We start from the raw sequence: 17,115 nt of genomic DNA on the forward strand, positions 1-17,115 counted from the left end.
GTAGGAATAATTTAGGAGACTAGCACCTAAATGATCACAGCTCTCACTGCATTATAGAAATAGCCTGCCTTTTCAACCTTACCCATGAGTACGAGTCACAGTCACAATCAAATGATGTCCAGAAAAAGAGAAAAAGAAAGCAGGCCATCTTCAGCCCTTGAGCAGTTTGTAGCTATAGCAGTGACACTGTACCTGATTGGGTGATCTCCACAAGTCTTGGGCCGCTCCATGACAGATACCCACTTGTCATCATAACTGAAGAGAGACAAATCCAGATAGGGGCTACCGCTGTAAGACTGAGCACTGATGGGGAGCTGACCCAGCAGCCGGCGTACTGCCTCTGTGTGCCCTCCATACTTGGCATTTATAATAGTGTCTTTGAACCTAAATGAAAGGACCGGTGAGGAAGGCTTTGTTAGTGAGTACACAAAGCTGTCTTGAATTTTAAATTGACAAATATATGTCTAAGAACAACTCATTCTTTAAATACAAATTAAAACCTAGGTAATGAATTAAGATAGAACTGTCTCTCACACATTACAAGTCTGGCCAGCTACAAATACTTTTAAAAAGCAAAACATATAACTAAAAATGGAAAACAACAAATTACTTTAGAAATGTGTTTGGGTTTTGGGTTTTTTTTTTTTTTTTTTTGAGACAGGGTCTCGCTTTGTTGCCCAGGCTGGAGTACAGTGGTGTGATCTCAGCTCACTGCAGCCTTGACCTCCCAGGCTCAAGTGTTCCTCCCACCTCAGCCCCCAGAGTAGGTGGGACTACAGGCACGTGCCACCACACCCAGCTAATTTTTGTATTTTTTATAGAGATGGGATTTTGCCATGTTGCTCAGGCTGGTCTTGAACTCCTGGGTTCAACTGATCTGCCCGCCTTGGCCTCCCAAAATGCTAGGATTACAGATATGAGCCACCACACCCGGCCCTACTTTAGAAAAGTTAACAAAGACTCTACAAACAAGTTTAAAATGAGTATAACTAGTTTATGGCAACTATTTCTACTCTTTTCTAATAACAGCTCAACTGGGGAAAAAGGTCAAGAACTTATTTTCCCCAAATAATTGCCTTAGACTGAATTAGGAAGGAGTTACAGAGAACCCTGAACAGAAGCAGCCTCTGACTCTTCTTGGGATCACCAACTTCTAGCAAGCCTTTCACAAATAAATTACGCATTCTTTGTTTGTTTAAATAAAATTTGGAAACTAGCTACCTATATTCCTGCAGAGACACCAGTATCTAGAAGAATAGTAACATACATAGAGTCATATATCTGACTTATCTTTGAAAATAATAACAGAACAGTTATTTCTCATCACTGTCACAAATGCTAAATTTTATTTTATTTTTATTTTTTGAGACAGGGTCTCACTGTGTTGCCCAGGCTGGAGGGCAGTGGCACAACCCCAGCTTACTGCAACCTCCACCTCTCCTGGGCTCAAGCAATCCTCCTACCTCAGCTTCCCAAGTAGCCAGGACGACAGGTGCGTGCCACCACACCCAGCTAATTTTTTTTTTTTTTTTTGTAGAGACAGGGTCTCGCCATGTTGCCCAGACTGGTCTTCAACTCCTGGCCTCAAGCGATCCACCCACCTCAGCCTTCCAAAGTGCTGGGATTACAGGCATGAGACACAGTGCCTGGCCACAAAACTAAATTTAATACTCTTTGACAAGTACTTCTATTCTTCTGGAAATTTACCCTAAGGAATCACTCCTACATGCAGAAAAATCTCTGTGTACATTCATACAGCATTGTTTATAGAGGAAGAAAAAATTAAAAAGCTAATGGAAAACTACCATTTTCAAAGATTATATGGTAACAGGGGAAATGTTTATCACATTTACAAATAAAAGAAGTAGGATACAATACTGTCTATATAATATGGCTAAAAACACAAAGAAAACAAAAACTCACACTTAAAGCAAAGACTGGCAGAAACACATTAAAATGTTAATAGTTGTATAATGACATTTTGAATTTTTTCCTTATTTTTCACTATCCTACAGCTTCTTAGAAAGAATGTCAACTGTCTATCAGTATATATTTTTTAAACCTCTATATTCAAGCATATCATATGGTTCAACAATCAAGGGGATATCAATTTTTTTTAGTCTGGGAGAAAAGTATAATATCTCATCCCTGAAACAAATGGAATAAAAAACTTCAGTGTTCCTAACTTTCATGAGACCACAAAGATTAATTAGTTGGGGGTAATTTTTATTTTCACTATTAACCTATGGTATTAGATGGACATGAACACTTTTCTGCTCCCCCTAAAGAAAGCCTAGCAAGCAACACTGCTTTTCCATTACTCCTACTGACAGTAATTTTCACAGCCTCAGTATAAATCATAAAAATAAATCTTGGGCCAAATAGAGCTTATTTTTTCCCTTTCATTTGAGCTGAAATAAAAGATCCTGGGCACTTCGGTTTTCAGCAAGACCTGGCACCATCTCATCTACACCTTAGCCCTGCCTGACTCACCGACTCCCTGGCTTTCAAAGGTAAAATGATGGGGGCTGGCTCACAGCTTTGTGATGACCACAAATCAAAGCATCTGTGATAATCTACAAGTTGAAACAGTTCCTCTTCCTCCACAGCACCTACCACCTCCACTCTCCATGCTCCCCACTGATTAAAAGCAGTCACTCTCTTCGATGTCTTCACACTTTAGTTCCTGCCCCAGTGTCACTCTGTCCAGCTATACCTCTCTTAGTTCTCGGTAATTTCAAAATCCTCAGAAAGGTTCTTTACAGCACCATAGCCTCCTGCTAGTTCCTTGACCTCCTCTCAACCTCAACTGCTTATTCCACAGTCACACCCTCAACCTCACCATTACCAACGACTGCAAACCCTCTCTAGTCACAGGGTAGACCGTCACGCTCTCCAACCATCTTCTCTCCCATCTTTCCAGCTCACTCCCTCTATTCATCCCAACTTCAGCAATCCTTTAACCCCCACAGGACCTATAATCCACTGATTCTACCAACTTCTTCCCATCCTACACTCATCATATCCTCTCTTCCTTCCTTCCACATAGATGAAATTACTAAATCACTCCGTTGCACACATCCTCAACAATCTTAAATTCTCTTGCTTTGTGGTACTTGCTTAGAAAAACTACAGCCTCCAGTTAAGCTCAACTCTTCCTATTCCGTGCCTGTACTACTTGGTTTTCTCCATGGCTGTAGAAAAAACATACAATGCTCACTTTAAACTTATGGCCATGAACTTTATGTGGGCCCTTAATGCTGCAGGGCACTCATGCTGCATTTCCATAGTCCTTCCAGACTCCCATGCTCTTTCATGACTATTTCATCTCCCCTCCTCCATGCTCACTCTTAGCCAATGGCATCGCTTACTTTGTTACTAACAAATGGAAGTTAGCAGAAGATAACTTTTTTAAAGCCCCCATCAGCACATCTACCCAACATTTGTACATATATAACTTTCTGCGCTCCCATGCAAGGCAAATCCCTCTGCCAGTGCACTAGCACCCAACCCCTCTCATACACTTAAGCAGTTCTTCCACTTTCCTAAACTGTTTCCCCTTCTCTACAGGATCAGTCCCATCTGTATGCAAACATGCCATTTTTTCCCTCTCATCTAAAAAATAACAAAAACAAAATCTAACACTACCTACCCCTCCAGCTAATGCACCACTTTTCAGCTCCCATTGTAATAAAACTCCTCAAAACTCTTTTCCATACTGTCCAACTTTTCTCCTCCCATTCTTTCTTAAACCCACCCTAAAGAGGCTTTCACCCCTACTATCTCACTCAAACTACTCTTGTCAAGGTCACCAATGACCTGCACATTGCTAACTCCAATAAGTTAATTTTCAGTCCCTATTGTACTTGACTCGTCAGGTGGCTGTGACACAGCTAACACTCCTTTGAGAAACTATGAGATATCTCTACTTACAGAACTTTTGATCTTCTCCCCTAAACCTGCTCTACCCACAGGTTTACAGTTTAATGGCAACTCTCTCTTGCAAGCTGTTCAATCCAGAAACATTAGAATTATCTTTGACTTTGTTCTTTCATGGCCCATAGACCATCCTCCATTAATCAATTGGGCTCTAACCTGCAAAATACATTGAAAATATAATTACTTACTATTCCCAATGCTACCACTCTGATCCAAGCCACCACTGTTAAACAACAAATAATCAATCACAGAGGACTTGGTATGTGCCAGACACTCTTCTAGGTGCTTAGGATACATCAGTTGACAGTAAAGAACTTAAATCCTAGTGGCAGGAAACAGAATGCCATAGCTATTACTTACTGGATCACTGCAATAGTCTCTTAACTGGTATCCCTGCTGCCACCCTACCTGCCTACATTCTACTCTTAACAGAACAGCCAGAGTGACTCTGTTAAAACATAAGTGAGACTACATCACTCCTCTGCTCAAACATGACACAATCTACCTCATCTATAGTTAAAGCCAAAGCCATAGAATGGCCTTATGTATCTGCCTACCTCCCCACCCCAAATCAGGTCTCTGACCCTATTTCCAAGTACTCTGCCCCTCGCTCACTCCAGTCCAGCCACCCTGGCCTTCTTGTTGTCCCTCAAATGCATCAGATCTACCTCAGGGCCTTTAGATATGCTATTCCTTTTGCTGGGTATATTCTTCTTCCTGCTATCCACATGGCTTGCTCCCTGACTTCCTTCAAAAGCTTTCTCAACCACCACCTCCTCAGTGAAGCCTATGCTGACAACTCTACTAGGAAAACTGGCAATCTCTTCTTAATATACTCAAACCTACCAGTATTCTAACAATTTTGTTTTTTCCTTGGACACACTTTTCTTGGACTCCTCCACTTTCGTGCTTCCAAATGGTCTGACAGGTGGACAGTCATTCTGCAAATTCCCTTTATCATTATCCTCAAGACTCTCTTTGCCTCTCTCCAGTGTCAGACTATTTCCTACATACCATTCTTTTGTGGTCTATTGAAGTACATCTCCATAGGCTTCCTTAGAAAAGGTACATGAGAGGTAATCTTTTCAGACTTCACAGGTTTGAAAATGTCTCCATTCCACCCTATTATTTGGATATAGAATTCTAAATTGCAAATCACCCTTTTCATAGAATTCTGAGGGCATGATTTTAATGACTTCAAGCTTTCAGTATTATTGATGTCTGATGTCATTATGATGACTTATTGTTTTTACATGTGAAATGTATGTTCTTTCTCAAAGTTTTCACAATGTTCTCTTTATCACCAATGTTCCAAAATTTCATGATGATATGCCTCTGTGTGTGGGTCTTTTTCATTGACTGTACTGGATACTAGATGAATCCAGTGGTGCGCTGATAAAGGTTTAATTTTTCTTGGGGGAAAAAAGCCATGATTTGTAGTGCTTCCTGCTTTCTGTGGTGTAAATCTTCCTGCCAAGGTACCAATGTGACATTACTCAATGTGCAGTTGCCAAGAGAAGAGCTGTAGCACCTTATTATATAGTATTTACACCATATAGATAAAATAGATGCAAAAACCACAAGAGCCTAAGTAACAGTAAAATCGGAAATAATTTGGAAATAAGTTTTAATAACGACTTTGTTTAACAATCAGCTTGCAAAAATTCCTGAAAGTTTAACAGTCAGATCTCATGAGCCAGGACAAGCCAGCTCCAGAACTGGATGGTCCTGCCAATCTAAAAATTCATGTTCTTCAGTCCTGGGAATCTATCCCATTATTTCTCCACTTTGTGTTCTCCACTGCTTCTTCAGGAATTAGACAGATATTTGGCCTCCTAGGCAGGTACTCTATTTTTTTTTTAAATGTTTCTCTTCTAGGTCCCTTCTCTTATCTATTTACTCTACTTTTTTGGAGAGTTCCTCCACTACATCTAACACATTTTAAATTTCCAAAAGTTTCTCATTGTTCTAGGAATGTTCCTGGTTTTTTTTTTTTTTTGAGTTGGAGTCTCGTTCTGTACCCAGGCTGCAGTGCAGTGGCGCAAATTCGGCTCACTGCAAGCTCCGCCTCCTGGGTTCACGCCATTCTCCTGTCTCAGCCTCCCGAGTAGCTGGGACTACAGGCGCCCGCCATCACACACGGCTAATTTTTTTTGTATTTTTTTTTATTTAGAAGAGACGGGGTTTCACCATGGTAGCCAGGATGGTCTCCATCTCCTGACCTCATGATCCGCCTGCCTCAGCTTCCCAAAGTGCTGGGATTACAGGCATGAGCCACCGCGCACCCGGCTGGAATGTTCCTGTTTTTATACTTTCAATTGATTCAGCGAATGTAACATTGTTTTTTTTTTCTTCTTCTTTTTTTTTTTTTGAGATAGGGTCTTACTTTGTCACCTACTCTGGAATGCAGTAGCTTGATCTCGGTTCACTGCAACCTCCGCCTTCCAGGCTCAAGCAATCTTCCTGCCTCAGCCCCTCCAAGTAGCTGAGCCGACAGGCGCATGCCACCACACCCAGCTAATTTTTTTGTTTTTTCGGAGACCAGCCATGTTACCCAGGCTGGTCTTGAACTCCTGAGCTCAAGCGATCAGTCCACGCCAACCTCCCAAAGTGCTGGGATAAAAGGCATAAGCCACCATGCCAGACCTGTTTCCTTACTCTTTATTCTTTATTCTGTTTGTTTTGTGTTGGTCACTTTTAGGATAAAGGCTTTCCTGAAATGACTCATGATCCTTGGTGACCATTTTTATTCTTGAACATTTATTTTGACCTATAAGGGTCCCAATTTCATTGATTTTTACCAAAAGATTGCTGGGAAAAGATTACTATAAAATTTAGCATTTAGAACCATGTGTTCACAAGAATTAAAAAAAAATTTCAGCTCCCTCTCACTCTTGTCTCCCCTTTCCACGGTCTCCCTCTCCCTCTTCTCCCCTTTACACAGTCTCCCTCTGATGCCAAGCCGAGGCTGAACTGTACTGCCGCCATCTCGGCTCACTGCAACCTCCCTGCCTGATTCTCCTGCCTCAGTCTACCGAGTGCCTGGGATTGCAGGCGCGCACCGCCACGCCTGACTGGTTTTTGTATTTTTTGGCAGAGACGGGGTTTTGCTGTGTTGGCCGGGCTGGTCTCCAGCTCCTGACCGCGAGTGATCTGCCCGCCTCGGCCTCCCGAGGTGCTGGGATTGCAGACAGAGTCTCGCTCACTCAGTGCTCAATCTTGCCCAGGCTGGAGTGCAGTGGCGTGATCTCCGCTCGCTACAACCTCCACCTCCCAGCCGCCTGCCTTGGCCTCCCAAAGTGCCGAGATTGCAGCCTCTGCCCGGCCGCCACCCCGTCTGGGAAGTGAGGAGCGTCTCTGCCTGGCCGCCCATCGTCTGGGATGTGAGGAGCCCCTCTGCCCGGCTGCCCAGTCTGGAAAGTGAGGAGCGTCTCCACCCGGCCGCCATCCCATCTAGGAAGTGAGGAGCGCCTCTTCCCAGCCGCCATCACATCTAGGAAGTGAGGAGCGTCTCTGCCCGGCCGCCCATCGTCTGAGATGTGGGGAGCGCTTCTGCCCCGCCGCCCCATCTGGGATGTGAGGAGTGCCTCTGCCCGGCCGCCCCGTCGGGGATGTAAGGAGCGCCTCTGTCCGGCCGCGACCCCGTCTGGGAACTGAGGAGTGTCTCTGCCCCACCGCCAGCCCGTCTGGGAGGTGAGGAGCATCTCTGCCTGGCCGCCCCATCTGAGAAGTGAGGAGCCCCTCCGCCTGGCAGCCGCCCCATCTGGGAAGTGAGGAGCGTCTCCGCCCAGCAGCTGCCCAGTCCAAGAGGTGGGGGGCAGCCCCTGCCTGGCCACCGCCCCGTCCGGGAGGTGGGGGGCGCCTCTGCCCGGCTGCCCCGTCTGGGAAGTGAGGAGCCCCTCTGCCCAGCCGCCACCCCATCTGGGAGGAGTACCCAACAGCTCATTGAGAATGGGCCATGATGACGATGGCGGTTTTGTCGAATAGAAAAGGGGGAAATGTGGGGAAAAGAAAGAGAGATCAGATTGTTACTGTGTCTGTGTGGAAAGAGGTAGACATGGGAGACTCCATTTTGTTCTGTACTAAGAAAAATTCTTATCCTGTTGATCTGTGACCTTACCCCCAACCCTGTGCTCTCTGAATCATGTGCTGTGTCCACTCAGGGTTAAATGGATTAAGGGCGGTGCAAGATGTGCTTTGTTAAACAGATGCTTGAAGGCAGCATGCTCCTTAAGAGTCATCACCACTCCCTAATCTCAAGTACCCAGGGACACAAACACTGCGGAAGGCCACAGGGTCCTCTGCCTAGGAAAACCAGAGACCCTTGTTCACATGTTTATCTGCTGACCTTCCCTCCACTATTGTCCTATGACCCTGCCAAATCCCCCTCTCCAAGAAACACCCAAGAATGATCAATAAATACTATTAAAAAAAAATTTTTCAATGTATATATACATTATATTTTCAATGTAGCAAAGTATGATTAGTGGTCAACAAAATATGTTAGCATACAATTCTGTTGGGGAGACAGAAGAGACATATAAATTTGAGAATCAGAAGAAACAATGTAAAATTCCCAATTATGGGTATAATTTGCTGTGAATTTTTCATATAAAATACTTGAATACCAAATTACTACGGTAATTAGCATCCTTTTGTTATATTTTAAAGTGTTGGAATAACTTTAAGTATCAATGTTTAATATCCACTGAAAATAGCATCCTCTGCAACTGCTTAAATTTAGTAGTAACAGGAAAAAAAAATTTAAAAATCGACTTAAAAATATGTGAGGGTACCCCCAATTTTTCAAAATCTTTTGGTGGTACAGTAAAATTCTGAAGATCACTGAGCTGGAATATACAACCTTTCTCCTCAGTTTTTTCTGGAGCTTTCTGTAATTTTGTTTAATTCCAGATGTATTCTGAAATAATTTTTGGAAAACAGAGTTCCTTCTAATTCCTGGATAACTTCATTCATTCAGCAAATACCTACAGAGCTCCTCCCACAGGGCAGACACTGGCCTTGGTGTTGTGGATATGGCAGTAGACATAACAGACAAAATCCCTGCCCTCATGGAGCTTATCATCTAGTGACTTCTTTGATGTTTTGAGTGAGTGTACCCATCTTTTGTTCTTTTTGTTTTTTGTTTTTGAGGCAGGGTCTTGCTCTGTCACCCAGGCTGGAGTGCAGTGGCATGCTCATGGCTCATTACAACCTTTGCCTCCCAGGCTCAAGTGATCCTCCCACCTCAGCCTCCCTAGTAGCTGGGACTACAGGCATGCACCACCACACTCGGCTATTTTTTTTTTTTTTTTTTTTTGCATTTTTTGTAAAGATAGGGTTTTGTCATGTTTCCTAGGCTGGTCTTGAAACTTGGACTCAAGCAATCCACCTGGCTTGGACTTCCAAAGTGTTGGGATTACAGGCATGAGCCACCACACTCAGACTGTTACTTGTTAATTATCTGCTTAATTTTGAAGCAAATTTTAAAAGAAAATTCATCCCAAAATGAAAAAAAGCAAAATCTGACCCATGTTCTGCATCTAAAAATTCTTCTATACTGAAGAGATACTAAGGCAGAAGATTTGTGTGAACCAAAGAAAAAGGAAAACGCAAGACAGTTGTCTGAATTCAATAGCCATCTATCTGTAATTGAGTACTATCTTTTTATATAAACATGATGCCACTGCATTAAGAGATATGTTTTTCCCAGTGGCAGTAATGCTTATTCTGATTCATCCACTCACTGTGGTCTGATCTATCTTTGGACCTAAAACAGGTATTTTCCATTACTGTCTAAAGTAAGGGAAACAATTTAAGGATGTGAAATATGATGAGGCACTGTCTAACTAAAGTAGGATTTAATTTAGGCCCTTGGCCCAAAGGAACCATTTGTTTCATAATAATGCACTATGGCAATTATCAGAAGCTCTGGCTCATAGGAGGGCCTTGCTGACTGTGGGGTATATATTTAGGGTGACCTAAGTGATTTGTAAAGGGACTCCAGGTGTCAATATATGTAAATCTCCTCTTTGTGTTGGTCAGTTTTCCTAGGGAAGAATCTCTAACCTCCTGCCTGGAGAGTACAAGCCTGGATGCCATATCTGGGAAGGGGGATAGGACTCCTACCCTTCAGTATGTCAACTTTCACCTAATTCCTGTTTTTAGCATAACATGTCTCATCCCTACTTTTAGATATACCTCATGAACTTGAGACCAGAGCCCATCTGGTTCAATCTGTTCAGAGAATAAACTTCCAGCCTTTTGCAGAGGTAAAAGAAGAGATAGTCACTTGGCTATGTAGACCTAGAAAAGGGATCTAGAGGGTCTGACTGCTCCTTTTAAGAACTTTACCAATCCTCCTCATTTCAGCCTACCTCACAGATACCTTCAGAAGTATTTTCAGAGGCACCTGGGACCTCCAACTTCCTGACCCTTTCCCAAGTTATCTGGTGTAAGGCAGCTTGTTTCTTGATGACTTAGCTCTGCAGCCTTGAGTTTCTGCTCTCTGAGGTATGCTAAGTCAGTTCTCATTCATTCACTGGCTTTTCAGCTTTTAAAACTTTGTTAATATGTCCTATCTCCCATCATCTCCTCTCCTATTCTCTTTGTTCTTACAGAACAAAGAGTTCTATACTTTGTTTATACCTCTAATGTTTATACCTCTTATTCCTTTATTGTCATTTGAGTGGGACTTAGGGATGGAGCAAAGATAAATACATGTGTTCAACATATCATGTTTAACCAAAAGTTTCTAAAATGATTTTCTTATTCATTCAATAAACATAAGTGCTTGACAGTGTACCACTGAAGATATAGCAATACATGAAGACACAGCCTCTGTCTTTCTGCAGCTCACATGCAGTCTAGAAAGAATCACAGACAATGCACAAATAATTCTACAGGTGCTGAGACAGAAAGAAGTTCAGGAAGAAACAAGGGGTTATAATAAGCAGAATAACCAAAGCTATGTGGACAGACAGAATAAGAGGTTTCCTAGAGACAACAGCTATTGGCCTAACACCAATTTTTCTAAAGAAAAGACTGTTGAGTCTGGTGGAACAGCTTACCGGCGCTGGATCTGCCTTGCAAAATTGTTGCTAGAAGCTGAGCAGGGAAACTGAACTTCACTGTGCAGGGTAGCATTACGAAAAAGGTCACAGAAGTTCTCAAAGAGCTCCAAAAGCTCATCTGATGTATTCTCAAACACAGCAATCACCTCTGTCGTCACCATATTGTACACCACAAAGAAAGATGCCTGCAGAAGAAAAGAGAGAGAGGTATGGGACAGCTGAGTATAATGCCATGCGTAGGAAACTTAGCACTTATTACTTGGCTGAAAATTCAAGGCATGAATTTTCCAAAAACAACAACAACAACAACAACAACAACAAGCAAACACCTCGGCTTTACCACTAAGGTGGAAACATGGCTCCAAGTGGTTCTGGGAAAATAGGAAGCAACAGTGGGATTTATCAACTGAGAGCCTCAATGTTGCCAGATTTTCCACTGTATCTGTGCTGCTAGAATTACTGAGATGGCCAGCATATAAGTATAAAAAGGTTTTAAATTTTCATTTCAAACTGTGCAAATTCAATATTTTTCCTTCCAAGTGTTTATTCCCTACTCGCTCCCCAACCCACCCTGAAATAAAAAGCACTTCTTAAAATGCCAGATTTAATTTTCTTTCCTGCTGAAAAAGTGATTTGCAGCCTGGAGCTGCCTGTTGGCAAATTATTTTCTCTTGTAAGTGTACAGTTGAAAGTTCAATTTAGGGGTATTTATTTTTCCCTCTTAATATTTCTAACATGCAGAGAGACACCTTAAGTACATCGAGTTCTAAACTGCCCTGGCAAGTTGTATACAAGCAGGGTACTGCTGAACAAATGAAAAATCAGATAGGCGTTTTCCACTTTTTTCCTCATAAATGTTCTTTCAGCCAAGAGCATTTGTAAAACACATTTGAGATTTGTAGCAATTAAGATCAGAGGGTGAACCTGAAAAGCATTCAAATGCCATAGGTGGCAGAGTTACTGCTTTTTCTAAATGGGCCCCTTGGTGGCTAGCCCTCTTCCTTTAAACCTCCAGTGATCTGCTCTGCCTAACAAGGAAGCTCCAAGAACCCCTAATTTTTGTTACAGTGAATGTAGCAGTGTGAATCAACTACTTCTGACAGGACTCTAGAAGTTCTCAGACCACTAGGATTAGTACTCCAGCCTCCTATGATTGAGTTTAAATCTCCATTACCAATTTCTGGAGCCATTCGACCCACCTGTTTTACTAGTAATTAGTCCTTCTCAGAGCTTATATTACATGGCTTTTGCAGTCACCTGCAAATTAAATTTGGCTGTAAATTAAAGAGGCTAGAGGGTAACCTGAGAATAGTACTCATAATATTACCGAGGCCTTGTGTTTGGATGTACTTTTTACTTATTAATCTTATTGGAACCTATCAAATTAAACTGGAGGAGGAGAGCAAAGGACAACTGGGGCAGAAAGATTGGGTTTAGAGTTACAAACTGTGTAAGCAAAGCATAGAACCCAGTTATGTCATTAGCTACAACTTATTGTACCTACCAGAAAAAACTAGGCCACCTTTTAGCAAAGAAGAAAAGGATAATCTCAAAGGCAGCAGTCACAGACAACTTATTCCCTCCAAAATAAAAAGGTAATTATAGCTCAAACCTAAACAAAAGATTGATTCATGTCCTTTCTATGGCCCTGGACAACACTTTGATCCTATCAGGGTTTCACCAGAATCTCTCATAATTACATGGATATAGAATTACTCAAACATTTACTAGCCTTCCCTCCAAGGCAGACTGGGAAATAAAGAACAGGAGAGTAGAGAAGTCAAGGACTTGACTGCAGGATCCCATGATGCATAAGATGAACCAGATGCTCACCCATGATTGCTCAATGGGTGACTTCATCATTGATAGGGAAGAAAAAAAATCCACAACAAATGATCTCTAACCATATTACTCCCCTACTTCTTTTTAGAACACATAAACTACAATTCAGAAGGAAAATGTTAGAAGATATTTTACCACAGGTAGCTGGTGAGGTTTTAGGACACGATACCCTGTACAGAATCTGTTAATGGTAGAATCAGCTACAGGTCAATAAGAGATACCAAACTCAGTTGACTTCGTGGTTTACTGATTTGCTGGTTGTTCTGAATTTCCAAACTAGTGTCTAAGGAGACAATCTGCAAACAGGAGAATGGGGAGACATAGGTGTAGAAAGGTAGTTGTCTAACTTGGTCAACACTGAAGTGGAGAGGTTTTCAAAGACAAATGCCCAAATTACCCTTAATTTCAACATAGTTTTTCAATCCCCAAATCTTAGCAGTTCTGTGCTCTTTATATCACCTTATTCCCTTTTGGGAAATGCTTCTTCCCCCTACTGAAAGAAAGGCATTCTTCCCCCAAACTGAAAAACCTTTAAGATTTGCTGTCCTGATGACTCTCCTCACGGATCATAAATTTCAGCTTCCTTTTGACCTCTTCACTGCTCTACAACCTATGTCCCAGCATGTGGGCAAGGTCAGGGTAAAGTCACAAAACTTAATTCTGCCAAATGAATGCACTTATTAGTTACCTTATAAATAGGACTTTATAGTACTTTACAGAGAAGTAAATTGACATTAACCATTTAAGGATGAAAGTGGGGTTACTTAGAGAATTTTCTTTTTGGTATGGTGTACTCATTCTCATTGCCAGAACTAAAACAGCCAGACCAATAATACAGTCTTACAAAATCAAGGGAGGTTATCCATAAGTAGTCCAAACCTTGACCTTGTAGCATTTGGGCTTCCATCTCATGAGTACTGAAAATACTCTGCAGAAGAGTTAGGGTAGTAATCAGAGGTGACTATCTTCCTGTCAATGACTTGAACTTTAGCTTCCATTTGTCCAGATAAATACATATGACCAGAGAAAAATGGAGCTGATTTTAAGTTTGGGCCCTAGGATATCAATTCAGACTACGTGAAATGTCTATTTCTGAGGGGTGGGCTATAAACAAACAGAGAAACCTTCCCATTTTGCCAAGGAGATTAGACAAGTAAAAGGCAGGAGTGTACCTCATACCTGTGATGGATCTGTGACTCGCAGTGTTACTACATCCTCACTAGTGTACTTGATAAACAGGTGGTTTTCATCCAGAAGCTGCATTTTCCACATTCGCAGCTGCCGCAGTTGGTCAAAATACTGGAAGAAGCGCCTCTTGGCCATTGCACTACCATCCTGTTCTGCCCGGCGCCACAAATATACCAGCAACCGGTGTTTGAGGGAATTGATGAAAGGATCCCTAAAGGGATTGGCCATGCCTGTCTGACTGTCCCGCTGTACCTCAGGGAAAACAGCTGACACAGTGAGCAGGTCATCCTCATAGCAAAAGCGGCCAATGGTCCGCACATCAATGAAAGTGCCTTCAGGAGTCACCTGGAAGACATGGATGGTCTGTTGTTGCACAGACAAGATGGCCAGGATGTTTTTGTACAAGTACAGCCCTTGGTTGTGTGACAAGACCACCTTGTCACACTTGAACGTGCGTGTATCACATAAGCGGCCGGTGTGAAGGTCAATGATATGGAGGGAATAGTCTTCTAGAGGGGACCGTGGGTTGGGGGTCACTGATTCACTGTTCCGATATACCTCAAAAAATGGAGGGTGAGGCTCATCTGGGAGGTAGGCAGCTGAGCCCACGATGACACAGCGGCAGTCATCAGTGAAGAGACTACACTCCCGGTTCAGGTGCTCACCATTGGCCGCAACATTGGTAATGTGCAGCAGGACAAAAAAGCGTTCAAAGAGCCGGCCCCGGATATTCACTGACCGCTGGTCATTGCCATTGGACAGGATTTCTCCTTCGTATCCCTGCAGTAGGTCCTCTGCTGCCTGGCAGCCCTGGTACTCATAGATTTCAAGAGATGTCTGGTCTGAAGAAAAAGCAATAAAGTAGCGTCCATCAGGTGAGAATTTACGCAAGAAACAAGGAGGCTTTTCAACGTTGACAACTGTGAAGTTGGGGAAGACATTCTGATGGAACACTCGGACTTGGTGCCAGTGGGTACCTGCCTTGCCTGAACTGATCCGCCGGCGTTCCAAGCGGTGAATGACATTTTGGTTTTGGATTCTTCGAGGCTTGATGGTAGAAACATGATGATCCATTATCACATCTCTAAACAGAAAAGTAAAGCAGAAGTCAAGAAAGTGAAACAGAATTTACCAAAATATAAATATATACAAGTGAAACAGATTTCTCTTCTTATATCCTGAACCTAGGAGCTCCCAAGATGACAGTGACTGGCATTACTACTTCCCAGATTATACTGAGTAAGTGGTCCTAACATTTCTAAGTCTAGAAACAGGTCTAAGGGAAGGATCTAGTTCACTAGGAATACCTTCCAAGTATGCTCAGCTGTTGGGAAAGTTCAACAGAAAAAAACCTACAACTACAAATTTGAACAGTATAAGACACATTCGGCTGGGCGCAGTGGCTCACACCTGTAATCCCAACACTTTGGGAGGCCGAAGCAAGTGGATCACCTGAGCTCACTAGTTCAAGCCCAGCCTGGAAAACATGGCAAAACCCTGTCTCTACAAAAAAATATAAAAATTAGCTAGGCATGGTGGCACATGACTGTAGTTCCAGCTACTTGAGAGGCTGAAGTGGAAGGATTGTTTAAGCTTGGATCATCGAAGCTGCAATAAGCCGTGGTCACAACACTGCACTCCAGCCTGGGCAACAGAGTGAGACTCTATCTCAAACAAACAAACAAAAAAATCATATTCAATGTGCATTCATTCCAGCAAAAAATATTTATTGGGCTGTTAAGATATCCATATTACCCAAAATAATCTACAGATTCAATACAAACCCTATCAAAATCCTAATAGCACTTTTCACAAAGATAAAAAATTCATCCTAAAATTCATATGGTATCTCAAGGGCCTCCAAATACACAAAATAATTTTGAAAAAGAACAAAGAGGATTCAAGCCTCTTGATTTCAAAATATATTACAAACCACAGTAATCAAAAAATTGTGGTACTGGATAAAGACAGACACAGACCAATGAAATGGCCCACAGATAAACTCTGGCATATATGGTTAAACAATCTTTGATAAGGTCCTACTACTACTCAATAGAAAAAGGACAGTCACTTCAACAAATGGTGTTGGGAAAACTGAATAGCCACATGCAAAAGAATGAAGTCAGACCCTATCTTACACCCTATACAAAAATTAACCCAAAATAGGAAAAGAATCTAAATATAAGACCCATAACTATAAAACTACTAGAAGAAAATACAGGAGGAAAGCTTCATGACATCAGATCTGGCAGTGATTTCTTGGATAAGACACAAAAGGCATAGGCGACCAAGACAAAAATAGACAAATGGGAATACATCAAACTTAAAACTTCTGTGATCAAAGGACACAATCAACCGAGTGAAAGGGCTTTCTACAGAATGGAAGAAAATATTTGCAAATCATATATTGGATAAAGGGTTAATATCTAGAACATATAAAGAACTCCTATAACTCAATAACAAAAAATCATATACCCAATTTTAAAATGGTCAAAGTACTGGAACAGACATTTCTCCTATACAAATGGCCACAAAGCATATGAAAAGATAGATGCTCAACATCACTAATCATCAGAGAAATGTAAATCAAAACTACAATGGGATATCACCTCACACCCATTAGAACGACTGCTTTTTTTAAAAAAAGAAAATGACAAGTTTCATTGAGGACATAGAGGAAGTTGAACCCTTGTGCATTGTTGGTGGAACTGAAAAATAGTACAGCTACTAAGGAAAACAGTATGAAGGTTCCTTGAAGAAAATTAGAACTACCATAAGATCCAACAATTCTACTTCTGGGTATAAATCCAAAATAACTGAAAGCAGGATTTCTAAGAGATATTTGCACACCCATGTTCATATCAGCGCTATTCATAGTAGTCAAGAGATGGAAGCAACCCAAAAGTTCACTGATGGATGAGTGGATAAACAAAATATGGTATATACACACAAAGGAATATTACTCGGCCTTCAAAAGGAAGAAAATTCTGACATATGCTACATCACTGAAACTTGAGGACATTATGTGAAGTCAAATAAGCCAATCACAAACAGACAAATACTGTATGATTCC

General features: G+C 41.9%; 1 protein-coding gene across 11 annotated transcripts in view; it reads right to left on the reverse strand.

Moving 5' to 3' along the window:
* The window catches only part of DET1 (DET1 partner of COP1 E3 ubiquitin ligase), a 44,785-nt gene that overhangs the window by 14,671 nt on the left and 12,999 nt on the right, over positions 1-17,115 (reverse strand). For 4 of the 11 annotated variants that reach the window (NR_135742.2, NM_001144074.3, NM_017996.5 and 1 more), the window contains 3 exons: positions 14,034-15,126; positions 11,010-11,197; positions 193-384 (listed from right to left, as the gene is read on the reverse strand). Coding sequence is in view for 4 of the 11 variants with exons in the window: in NM_017996.5 (NP_060466.2) it covers positions 193-384; positions 11,010-11,197; positions 14,034-15,126 (1,473 nt within the window). In the remaining 7 variants the exon portion in view is untranslated. The remainder of the gene's footprint in view (positions 1-192; positions 385-11,009; positions 11,198-14,033; positions 15,127-17,115) is intronic. The other 7 variants (NR_135739.2, NR_135744.1, NR_135743.1 and 4 more) reach the window with 4 other exon arrangements.

Source organism: Homo sapiens, chromosome 15 (genome assembly GCF_000001405.40).
Source record: "Homo sapiens chromosome 15, GRCh38.p14 Primary Assembly".
Lineage (NCBI taxonomy): Eukaryota > Metazoa > Chordata > Mammalia > Primates > Hominidae > Homo > Homo sapiens.